This window comes from Homo sapiens, chromosome 1, assembly GCF_000001405.40.
Source record: "Homo sapiens chromosome 1, GRCh38.p14 Primary Assembly".
Taxonomy (NCBI): Eukaryota; Metazoa; Chordata; class Mammalia; order Primates; family Hominidae; genus Homo; species Homo sapiens.
The window spans coordinates 158,033,477-158,046,338 of record NC_000001.11 but is presented as its reverse complement, the minus strand read 5'-3'; the positions used below and the strand labels follow the sequence as shown (position 1 = coordinate 158,046,338).

At 47.3% G+C, this 12,862-nt stretch overlaps 1 protein-coding gene across 4 annotated transcripts in view, besides 1 other annotated feature; it reads right to left on the bottom strand.

Moving 5' to 3' along the window:
* KIRREL1 (kirre like nephrin family adhesion molecule 1) overlaps positions 1-12,862 on the bottom strand; it is a 106,618-nt gene that overhangs the window by 53,924 nt on the left and 39,832 nt on the right. The window lies entirely within an intron of this gene.
* Positions 219-751: an enhancer, noted in NCBI's record as "OCT4-NANOG hESC enhancer chr1:158015378-158015910 (GRCh37/hg19 assembly coordinates)". NCBI's record gives its function as "activates a minimal SCP1, AML or CMV promoter by ChIP-STARR-seq in primed H9 embryonic stem cells {active_cell/tissue: H9 hESC(primed)}" and the evidence as "EXISTENCE:reporter gene assay evidence [ECO:0000049][PMID:30033119]".

Here is a 12,862-nt window from a genome sequence, read left to right as displayed (position 1 = left end):
CTTCATTCCTCCAGGTCCGTAAGACAAAGCCTCAATGTCATCTTTGACTGATCTTTCCCTCTCACCCTTCGTCCAATCCATAAGGAAGTCCTGCTGGTTCTCATTTCCCAATAATCCCAGAAATGGACCACTTTTTGTGGACTCTAGGCATGCCAATGGTGCCCAAGCTATCATCTTGTGCCTGGATTACTGCAGTAGCTGCTTAATGGGTCTCTCTGCTCCTGCCCTTCCTTCACACCATCTATTCTTGACACAGTACCCAAAGCAATTCTGTTAAAACATGAATTATACCATGTCACTCCTGTGCTCAAAATCTACCAGTGACTTCCCATTTCATTCAAAGTAAAAGCCTAAGTCCTGTGATTCCTTCAAGGCTCTGGTCCAATAAGGAAGAATTTTTCTGGCCTTGGTCCACATTCCTGGGACAGAAGTTTTAAACTCGTGGAACTTCCCAAGTGATAAGAATGTCTTTGTTATTCATTGCACACTGGGGTTTATGCTAATGAGGTGACTCTGGATTGGGGCTGAGGATGCTGGAAAGATCAACCACGTGATTAGAAGGTTAGGGCACTGAGCCACATGACACCAGCTTCCAGAGAGGAGAGGGAGGTTGGAGACTGAATTCAATCACATGCCAAAATGATTTGATAATAAAACTACAATAAAAACTCTGGACTCCTAGAGTCATGGAACCTCCTGGTTGGTACACACATTGATGTGCAGGGTGGGTGAAACGTCTTGATTCCACAGGGAGAGGGCACGGAAGCTCCATGCTTGGGACCCTCTCACAGCTGGTCCTGTGTGTCTCTTCATTTGGTTCATCCAGATTTATATCCTGTGTAATAAAACTGTAATAGTATAGCACTTTCCTGAGTCCTGAGAGTCATTCTGTCAAATTATTGATCCCAAAGGGGTTGTGGGAACCACTGAATTTGTAGTTACTTGGTCAGAAGTCCAGGTGGCCTGGGGACTCCCAAATTTGAAGCTGACATCTGAAACGAGGGCAGTCCTTGTTGGGGACTGTGCCCTTACCTAACCTGTGGATTCTGGGCGTTCCCACAGCCCCTAGAACTCATGGTAATGGGGTACCCAGCCTAGGGGAAGGTATGGCAGTGTTGTAGCCCCTCATGATTTGTGCACATGTGCAGGCACACTCCTCACTTCTATCACCAGTTCCCCTGCTCACCTCCCTCCATCCACACTGGCTTTTCCTCAAACACACCAGGTGCATTTTCCCCTCAGGACCTCTGCCTCTGCTGTTCCCTCTGCCTGGAATGCTTCTTCCCCTTAATGTGCCTACTCCCTGAACTCCTTCACATCTTTTCTTGTTATCACCTTCTGAGTAAGTTCTTTACTCACTGCACTACTTAAAATTGGACCACTGCCCCACCAGACTCCGGATTCCCCTTCCCTTGCTTAATTATTTTCCATTTTATCAATATCCAACTAACTAATATTTTACCTATTAATTAGCTTATTGTCCCTCTCTCTGACAGAAGCCATATAAGGTCCATGAGGGTAGAGATTTTCTTTTTTCTTTGTGTTAATTGCTGTATCCTCAGCACTTGGAAAAAGGGCCTGGCACTTTGGGATGAGCGGATCACTTGAGGCCAGGAGTTCGAGACCAGCCTGGCCAACATGGCTAAACCCCATCTCTACTAAAAATGCGAAAATTAGCTGGGCATGGTGGCGCATGCCTGTAATCCTATTTACTCAGGAGGCTGAGGTATGAGAATCGCTTGAATCCGGGAGACAAAGGTTGCAGTAAGCCGAGTTCGTGCCACTGCACTCCAGCCTGGGTGACAGAGCAAGACTGTCTCAAAACAAACAAACAAACAAGCAAACAAACAAAAAATGCCTAATACTTTAAAAACATTGAATAAATAAATAAATCTGTTATAATTTTTGGAAGCTTCACCACTGTCCTCCATTAGGGAAGTCCAGTTTGTCCGCTTCTCATTAAAGTGAGTGTCCAGAGAGGATGGAAGCTCTCTCTGGGCATGGACCTCCCAGTCAGTACAGATGACTGTCCCCTCCCAGATGCAGGACCTTGCATTAAGCCTGACCTGGCTCTGGAGGCAGACAGAAGGGGGCTCACCTCCTTCTGCCACTTTTTTACAGCTGCCTTTTATGTAATGCTTCTTACATCTGGCACCCACCATGCCTTGCAGAGATTGCTTTTTTTCACAAAGGCAGGGGCCATGTCCAGCTGCTCACTTTTGCAGACCTGGCATGCAGCACAGTCCCTGGTATGCGGTTGGCATCCAGTTCACATCTAAAAGAATGAATGAATGTCCAAAACACCGAGCTTGTTCTTTTATGTGGATTGCCTCACTGAATCCTCAACATCTACCATTAAGATACCTATTATTAACCCCATTTTACAGATGGAAATGTGGAGGCTAAGAGAAATTAAGTAATTTGCCTAATGTCACAAAGCTAGTAATTTGCAGGGTGAAGCTGGAAAAATAGGGTTAAACATGGGGTCCTTTGTGGCGTCAAAGCATCTCTCACAGAGATGCTGCTGTTCACGGCTCCCTGCCATGGCACAGCCCACCACTGCCGCACCCCCACCCCCAGTGTCTCATTGTGCCCCAGGAAGGCACATTTTCTTCTGTTTTCCTCTTTCCCCCTAAGCAGGGGCCCAAGAAAGCAGAGGCCTTCTCCACAGCCCCTAGAACTCATGGTAATGGGGTACCCAGCCTAGGGGAAGGTAATGGGGAGATATGGCCACTGGGTGGAGAGGAAAGGCGTTTATTTAGGGAGTCCTGTCAGACTTCCCAAGCTGTCCCTCAAACTCCCCTGAACTATCAGTGTTCCCAGACACAGAGGCCTTTATCCCCTGAAAGGGAGCAGCCAGGCAGAAAGACAAAGACCATATCTGATCCCGCCTGGGGTGGAGGCCACAGGTTGGGGGAAGGGAGGCGTGCAGCCGGGCCAAGAGAGGGCTGAGCACATCTGAGCAGGAATGGAGGAGGGGTGGGGTCAGGATTCTTACGCCACTCTTTCCATAAGGGGGGAATGAGGTGCTGGCTGGGGCAAAAATATCCCATGCCTATGTCACCATTTTCAGTTTTCAGGAGCTTTCCATCCACTCTCTTTTCCCATCTGTAGCCTCTCCCAGTGTGGATCTCACAGTCCACTCTGCAAGCAGCTTCTCCCTCTCTCCAGCACTGCTTCCTCGCAGTAGGTGTTGGAGTGCCCCCACCCTCATGATGAAGGGCAAAGCTAATCTTTTTTTTTTTTTTTTTGAGATGGAGTCTCGCTCTGTTGCCCAGGCTGGAGTGCAGTGGTGCAATCTCCGCTCACTGCAAGCTCCGTCTCCCAGGTTCACACCATTCTCCTGCCTCAGCCTCCCCAGTAGCTGGGACTACAGGTGCCTGCCACCACGCCCGGCTAATTTTTTTGTATTTTTTTTTTTTTTTTTTTAGTAGAGACGGGGTTTCACCGTGTTAGCCAGGATGGTCTCGATCTCCTGACCTCATGATCCTCCCACCTTGGCCTCCCAAAGTGCTTGGATTACAGGAGTGAGCCACCGTGCCCAGCCGGCAAAGCTAATTTATAAGGCATAGTAATAACATCACAGAGGGTGCAGCAGGTGGTTAAGAGCACAGGCCAGAGAACAGCCAATCTGCATCCATTTTCTCATCTGCAAAACTGGGGAATAGTCGTACCTACCTCAGGTTGTTGTGAAGGTTTTAATGAGGCAACATGCATCTGTAAAGTACATAGACCAGTGCCTGGCTTCTGTAAACACTAGCTAGTGTTACAGCAGTGTGGAGCTCTGCTTCCATAATCTCACCTCATCTCATAATAGCTCTGCAAGGGAGGGACTGGTATCCCATATTACGCATGTGGAAACTGAGGCTCAGGTAACAGAGAATGAGGTAATAGCATAACCAAAGAAGCAAATACTTTTGGGCTCATGTTAAAGATTCTTCCAAATATCTTAGCTGCCTCCCAGTGAAAACTGAAGCAATAGGAGGGCACAAAGGTCACTCTCAACTGGTGCCGGGAGCATCTAGGCCGGGCCCCCCTTACCTGCACGTTCACCTGGAAACCTTATTTAGTTACCAGGTCTGAGTCACACACACACACACACACACACACACACACACACACACACCCTGGAGAAGACCCACACGACGCAGCTACTCATGGCCCTGGGCCCACCTCCATTCTGGTGTTGGAGGAGCTCTCTTCCTCTCTTGTCCCTCCCTCCAAGCCTCCTGTGACATCGAGAGCTCTGGAAGTGCTCGGGCAATGTAACAGTGTTCTCTGAACAAGTTCTCTGAGCTCCAGAAGTGCTCAGGCAATGTAGCAAGTTCTCTGAGTTCCTGTGAAGGCCCTTGAACTTCTGAGGTCCAATTTGTTCCTCTCACCTCCTTCCCCAGAAAGAAATCTCTGAACCAGACCAACTGCCTAACCCTCCTCGCCATCTCTAGCTCACCAAATCCATGCCCTTCCACTCCATCCAAGTCAACCTGCTGCCTGCAATGATGAAAGTTAATGTCCTAGCATCAGCCTAGGGTTTTAGAGTACCAAGCACCCCCATTCTCCCACCGCACAAACCAGAGGGGAGACTTGTTCACCATCACGCACACAGTAGGTAAGGGAGCTGAGATTTGAACCTGGTTCTTTTGGGAGAGGACTGAGATAGGAATCTCAAGAGAGAGGTGGGAAAGCCCAAGCGAGGGTGGAGAGAAGTGATTCCCTCTGGGTTAGGTTCTAAGATAAGGAGAAGTGAGGCTCAGAGGGCAGGGGTCCCTCAGGTTTCTGGTCATTCCCATTAGCTGCTCTGCTGGTTTTCCTTTCTCCTTAGACACTCAAGCCTCAGCACCTTCAGAGGGACTGTTATGAGCCTGGATCCCTTCCTCTCCCTTAATCCTTATCTCAAATCTATTGTCAATTCCAACTCCAGAATACTTTTTGAATTAAATGATTCCCCTCCTGAATTGTCTCTCCCTTGGTTCAAACCTATCTTTCTCTCCTGGATAACTTCAAGACCAGGACCACCTTACGAAGTTGTCTGTGAGTGGCACACGGGAGTTGTGAGATGTATGCACACCTATGCGGATAAATGAGTGGCCTGTCCACAGCATCTTTTATTAGCTGACCCTCCCCAAGGCCTCTACAGGACCTGTTCTCCCCTCTAGCACAACTTACCACAGTTTATTGTGTTCCCTATTTATCTGTCTATCCCAGGGATCCTATTCAATTCATCTTTGTATTCCAAATGCTCAGTGGAGTGCCTGGCACATAATAGCTGCTCAATAAACATTTGTTGCTTGACTGGTTGTAGTTTCTCCTGGATGCACATCTACCTGCTCTCTCTCCTCTGTTCCATTCCTACTTCCACACATGCCCAGCTCCCCCTACCCCTAGAGTTATCCTAAAACACAAGATTGATTCACATCACTTACTGCTTACAAACCTCCATTATTTCCTTGTTGTTGATAATAAAGTTCAAAATCCTTAGCTGGTCACCCAAGGCCCTTCATAACCAGGTTCCCAACTTCTTTTCCATCTTATCTTCAGCCCCCCACCAACCACCATCTTAGCACACGCTCCAGCCCTCCTCCTCTGAATAGACCAGCCTTTTCATTACTAGGGTTGATATTAAGGAAATGCCTGTTCCCATTTTCTGAAATGTTTTTCCCCTCCATTTTCACCTGAAAACTGCTCTGTGTTATAAAATCAAGCTCAAAAACCACCTCCACTGTGAAGCCCTCCTAACTTGCCTAGGCAAAGTGAGTAACTCCTTTTGTATTCTCCTAGACAATGGAGAGGAAGAATCCATATTTATAGAGTGCTGACTATGCATTATCTAATTTAATTCTCCCTCACAACAATCTTGGAAGATAGATGTTATCATTCCATCAAACCTTTGCTGGAGTAGGTATAAAAACAATAAAACCTGGGGTCAGAATTTCAACCCTGGTCTGTCTGACTCTAAAGTCACAGTTTTTTTCTTTTCCATGTCTCTGACCTCTATTATGGGACTTGCTTGCTATGCTTTATGGCATTTCTCAGCCCACATGTCTCTTTCCCCAGTTAGATGTATGGTCAGAGGCTGGTTCTTACTTATATCTACATCCTGGAGGTCAAGCCCAGGAATGGTCTTACATAAGGGTCTCAATAACTGTGGTTAATTGAACAAACAAGTGAGTGAATGCATGAGTGAATGAATGAATGAACAAACTGAGGATTATGTTATGCCCCTAGACATGAGCAATAATGAAGGAAAGCAACAATTTGTGCAAAGGAAAAATACGCAAGGGAGGCCCAGTCTCATGCTTTCCACTGGAGAACCCCTTGTGCATCAACTCTCTCCTCTCCTCAGAGCTCTGCTTTATGAGTAGATCAACAGCCCACAAGGAGATGGCATGGTTGCCAAAAAACAAAAAACCAAACACATCAAAACAAACTGAAAAACATAACAACAACGCCCAGAGGTGGCAAGAGCAGTTCCCTATAAAGAACAAGACAGACAAGCTCTCTCCCTTCTGGGACCTCCCTCTGAGACCAACACACCAACACAGGTAGCAACATCTAGGCCATTTGGAAAGAAGACCTAGAAATAGACAATCAATACATGACCAGACTGTATTTACATCACAGGCCTGATAGGAGACATGAAGGAGTGGGGAGGAAAAGGAAAGAACTGAGCTCAAGCAAAGAGGTCCCTGCAGGACAGTAGGTTCAGGAACAATTGGCATGATTGGGGAAAAAGCTGGCTTGATGAGTAAGTGTGGGGTGGGAGGTTCTAGACATACGGTAATGTGAGTGCAGGCGCATCCCGGCTCTGGTCACCCCAGCTTGCCCAGCTCTCACATCCCGCTCAGCCTTTGCTGCTTTTGTGTCCTCCAGCTTGAGACTCGAGCCAATACCACTAATTGTTTTCTCTACTGGCCAAATGGTGGGAATGAGGGGCCATAAAGGAAGCAAACAGCACATGCCATGCATCCAGCAATTTTACTGTTGGCAATTTGATACAGAAAAATAAAATGAGGACAGAGCTGCAGGGTCAGTAAAGGGAAGTACATTTCCAAGTGATTTTCCCTTTTACTGCTGAGCAGTCAGGGCTCCTCTTCGTGGACAATTCTATGGCAAGCAAGACATAGGCATTGTCAGCAAAGTCCAGGCATTTATGATGCAAAATCATAGGCAGGCTGGGCCTGGGAAGGGGTGGTGCTGAAATGGCAGAGCCTCAGTGTTGGAAAGGATAATGGCGGTCACCTTGTCCAACCTTCCTCTCAATCAGAAGTCTCCGGTCCAGCGTGCCCAGCATGTGGTCAGCCTGGCTCTTCCTGAACCCTCTCGGGCTGCAGGGCTTACTGCCTCATGAAGCAGCCCTCTCTATCTGCTGACAGCTACAGCTATTAAAAAGCTGTTCTTTATAGTCTGTGGAACTCTGCCTTTCTGTATCGTTCACATCCATTCATCCTCGTTTAGCCCTCTGGAGCCAATCAATGTTTATTGAAGACCTACTACGTACCACTCTTCTGGATTCTGAAGTTACAGCCGTGAACAAAACAAAGCCCCTAGTGGGCAAGTCTACTGTTTCTTTGACATGACACAGAATTTTTCACGTCTCCTCAGACCCTTTGGAACCCTATTTTTGTTCAGTCGTCAGTTTGTGAGATCTCCCAGGGCTAAGAATAATCACTCCTACCACACACTAGGAAGCATTCCTTAAAAGAGGAAGAGAATGGCTAGACACAGTAGATCACGTCTGTAATCTCAGTGTTTTGGGGGGGCCAAGGCAAGAATCACTTGAGGCCAGGAGTTTAAGACCAGCCCAGACAACATAAAGAGACCCTGCCTCCAAAAAAAAAAAAAAAAAAAAAAAAGAGGAAGAGCCACCTGTAAAAGGACTGGAAGACACCAGATTTTTTCATGCCACTCTGCTTCATCTTTAACATCATAACACTCATTCACAGTCCATATGTTCTTGTTTACTTGCTATTGTCCTCTGCCCCCTCCCACCACCACTGACTGACCCCCTGCAGCTGTGAGAGCAAAGCCTCATTACAGTGACCCCTACCAGGTCCCCAGGGACCAGAGCAGTGCGGGGCACAGAGTGGAAGACTCAATAAACATTTGCTGAATTGAGAACTAAACGGATGAATGCACAGGACTCAGCTCACACATGAGGAGAACGGATGGAGTCACCACACGGACCTCTATTCCTCCAGCAGGAAGAAATAGCTGGCCTTCCTCCCTCATCAGCCAGGCAGATGGGTGGCAGGCCTGAGACGAGCTCCCCAGGAAGGTCGTGGGCACAGAGCCAGACCCTAACTTAGCTAGAGCCATTGAGCCGCTGGCAGGCTGGTCCTGCCCCGAGTCTAGCTGACACTGGGCCTGGGGGTGTTTCCTGGTGAGGAAATAGTTATGAGTCGCAGGAAGTCCATCAGCCAGGCACCCTGGGCTCAGCCCAGTGCCCTGAGGGCCAAAATCTGCAATGGGCAGTAAGGAATCTGGGGAGGAAAGGAGACAGGTCCCCACTCTAAAGACCATGTTCCTAGGACACTCAGGACAACAAGCCAACTGCTACCTGGAAACCCCAAAGTGAGGCTGCAAGAGCCTGGGTGCAGTGTGTACGAGCAACTGGAGACCTGTGAGCTTAATCAGAGGATGCTTGCTGGAGGAGGGAGCTACAATCAGGGTTTGGAAGGAGAGATGGGACTTGATAGCTAATAATAATTAAAATAATGGTCATTTATTGAACACGTATATAAGCCAGGCATGCTGCTAACCATTTTATAGACATTGATTCACTTAATGCTCACGACCCCTGAGAAGTAGGTGTGATTGACCCCTTCCTTTTTTTTTTTTTTTTTTTTTTTGCCAGAGTCTTGCTTTGTCGCCAGGCTGGAGTGCAGTGGCGCAATCTCAGCTTACTGCAACCTCTGCCTCGCAGGTTCAAGTGATTCTCCTGCGTCAGCCTCCCGAGCAGCTGGGACTACAGGCATGTGCCACCACGCCCAGCTAATTTTTGTATTTTTAGTAGAGACAGGATTTCACCATATTGGCCAGGCTGATCTTGAAGTCCTGACCTTGTGATCCACCAGCCTCAGCCTCCCAAAGTGCTGGGATTATGGGCGTGAGCCACGGCGCCCGGCCGATTGACCCCTTTCAACAAGCCCAGAGGGATGAAGCAACTAGGCCAAGGTCCAGTGCTAGTCGTGGCAGCAGTGGGACTAGAACCCAGGTGTCCAGGACTCCAAATCTGGACTCGCTGCTGCATGACACCCATGGGCCCACAGCAGCCTCTGGGATTTCTTTAACATAGGAGAACCAAAGGAGACACGGGAGGCCCTGAAGGGCCCAGCTGAGACTGTCCCATCTCAGGCTCCATCGAAGTCCAAGACTCCGGGTGGTTCACTCCAGACCTGCCCGCCAAGGCTCCTCTGGCTGATTAAAGCCCACAGCCCAGCTATCGGCCGTCCTCACTCCTGTCTAACGGCCCTCATTCATCTGCTCTCCCAGTCTTTCTTCTCCAGACAGCTTGCTGTCCACCCCAAACTGCCCTCTCTATCCCCTACTTCAGGCCAGAAAAGATGAAAACCATAAGCATCAGGAGGCCTCAGGTATAATCCAGCCCAAGCCCTTCACTGTAGACTGGAGGACATCAGACCCAGTGAGCTGACCGAGACTGCACCAAGCATCGCGGTCCATGGATGTTTATCTCCTCCATCAAGCGCCTCTCTTTCCCGGGTTGTGACTGCTTTGAGAGAACTTACACCATCCTCCTCCGTGAACCTTGCCGCTCTCCTTGAAGGTCCTGCCAAAACCTGGAAAGGTCTAGAAGCCCTCTCGAATTGCTCTCATTCTCCATGTCCTTTCCGCATTTGTAAATACAGGTTACATAGTGGACTGCTTTCTGTTACCTAAGCATCATGCATGTCCCCTTATTACTCAGTCTGCAAAAAAGCTGCATATTCTCCACGTTAGTTTAGCTCCCTAAGCCACCTAAACTGTCTATCACTGCCCAGCACCTCCAGCTGATCTGTCCAATTGGTGCTACAAGTTCGTTGCAGTATTTATCTGAATAAGTTACAACCAGAAAATAAGTCTGGAACAGTAATAAATAAAGAAATGAATAAATGAATAAATAAATGGAAATTCTGTATTCTAATTCTGTGCTCCAGGGGGCGCCATTTGCACCGTAGTCTACTTGCATTGTAATGTCAAGGCCCAAGGTCCCTTCTATATCAAAACACAAACAAACTACAACACTTTTAGTAATCCCCAGTATCCCTGGGTTTTGACTGTTGGTTTAGGAAAAGTATCTGTCCACACTCTGGTTCTCTGCATTTGTTGAGAATTGAAGGATGATGGTAAACTCTGTCAATGCATAAATCCACCCCTGGAAATACCAGTTCCCCCTGGCTCTGTGTAGTTCTGTAGGGCTCTGTAGGTTTCTGGGACTTTGGGGTAGTAAAATGCCTTTCTAAGGGGCAAAGGTATGTTCCTCCCAAATTATTGACACTACTGCTACTAGGACATAGACTGTGGCTAAAATCACCCAAACATCCAATCACTGTTATTAACCACATGGTCTCCACATAGCAGGGGCATGGCCTGTCTCCATCAAAGTGGTTCTTTAAAGCCCCGACAGATCATGGACTGGTAAAAAAAATACTAGGATTTGGGGTCAGACAGGCCTGGGTTTGAATCCCAGCTCCACCTTCACTTCTCTGAGCCTTAACACCTCATCCAGAACATAGGGTGAGTAATTCTTATTTAACAGGGCTCCATGAGAATTAAAATAAATAGGTCAACAGTAAGTAGAATATCTAGCAGTGTCTTGTGCAGAATAGGTGCTCATTATATATGAATTGTCTCCCCCTTGATTTCTCTCCTTTCTTTGTATTTACCCTTCTACTGTTCAGGGCAAGGTCTTGTCATTATCCTGATACCCTGGACCCTCTGCTGATGGAGGAAAGATGCCAGAGATGGGGAAAAAACTCTGCAGTCCTTGCTGTCAGGCTCCATGAGGGCAGTCGCAACTTTACATCAGCATACAGCATCTGGACCTCACTTCTCTACTACACTCGCTGCCTGGGGCCCTAGTCCCAAGGGGGCTGTTCTAAACAGGTTTCCTTCCAAAAGATAAAAGAAACTGACGGATGGTAAGTAATTGATCTCTTAAAAGAGGCAGAGAGGGAGCCTGAATAGCTACCTAGCCAGGGGGCAAAGGGAATGGCTCCTACCAGTTCCTGCTTCAATTCCCAGATTCCAAGATAAAATACATACCCAAAGAGGTGGAAGAAAAGGAGGTAAGAAAAACAGAACAATGGCAAAAATAAATACACACACATATACACACATGAACACACACACAACCAGTTCAGTAAAGATGTTTGTTAAATAGAAAATATAGAGAGAATTTAAAAATTTTTTTTCTAGCTTGCCTCAATTTCTTCAATAAAAAAAGTACACATTTATATCTGGTAGCATGAGAAATAAACGTGTGATTTTTCAGTAATAACTAGACGGCCCCACATTATCCAAAAATATGTCTACCCTAGCTACCGAAGTTGTGGATCACCAGGGTCTCCCGTCCCTCAACCCCTATTGCCTAAGTAACTGCGCTAAGATGGAATTAGCAAGAAATAACAATCCCTTATGTTTTATGAACAGCTTACAATTCAAAAATCACTTTTATATTCATTTAACTTCTTCAGCCACAAAAAACTCAGCCCTAGGAAGCTGAATCTCAGTTTCATATCTTTCTTAAGGTCTCACAGCTGGCGAGAGGAGATTCTGAACTTGAACCCACATCTGACTCCTAATACACACTTTCACTAAGTCACATTACAAAGTAAAAGGTCCAGGTAACTGGATAACAGAGACTAGAAAACAACACCCTTCCATTTTGGTCATGCTCAGAATCCTATTGAAGCTTGGGTTTCAGAGATATAAAGAATGCCAAGTACTTGGATATAAAATGGAATGAAAATTGGGAAAGGGGAATCTATGGGAAACTGAGGCATCTAAAATCAAAGAGGAGAAGGATAAAGAAAAATTTCATTTTCTTTTTTTCTTTTTTTTTTTTTTTTTGAGACGGAGTCTAGCTCTTTCTCCCAGGCCTGACTGCATTGGCGCTATCTCGGCTCACTGCAAGCTCCGCCTCCTGGATTCACGCCATTCTCCCTCAGCCTCCTGAGTAGCTGGGATTACAGGCGCCCGCCACCAAGCCCAGCTAATTTTTTGTATTTTTACTAGAGACGGGGTTACACCGTGTTAGTCCAGATGGTCTCGATTTCCTGACCTCGTGATCCGCCCGCCTCGGCCTCCCAAAGTGCTGGGATTACAGGCGTGAGCCACCGCGCCCAGCCTTCTTTTTTTTTTTCCGATGGAGTTCATTTTGTTGCCCAGGCTGGAGTGCAGTGGCAGAATCTCCGCTCACTGCAACCTCTGCCTCCCAGGTTCAAGCAATTCTCCTGCCTCAGCCCCCCAGTAGCTGGGATTACAGGCACGTGCCACCATGCCTGGCTAATTTTTGTATTTTTAGTACAGACGGGGTTTCACCATGTTGGCCAGGCTGGTCTTAACTCCTGATCTCAGGTGATCCACCTGCCTTGGCCTCCCAAAGTGCTGGGATTACAGATGTGAGTCACCATGCCCGGCCGAAAACTTCATTTTCTATCTTTGAAATGTTAGCTCCATGATATGTAGTCAAGGGCGAAACAAGAAAGAGGACTCTCTGCAGCAGTAGGCTTTGAGACAAGGATCAAACAACCTGATTGGGGCAGTGGGAGCATGAGGAGCAATAAAATGAGCTGCAAAGCAAGGAAGAGAAGGCACTGTGGAGCACTGATGCCAAAAAGTCACCATCCAGCCCAGAACTGCA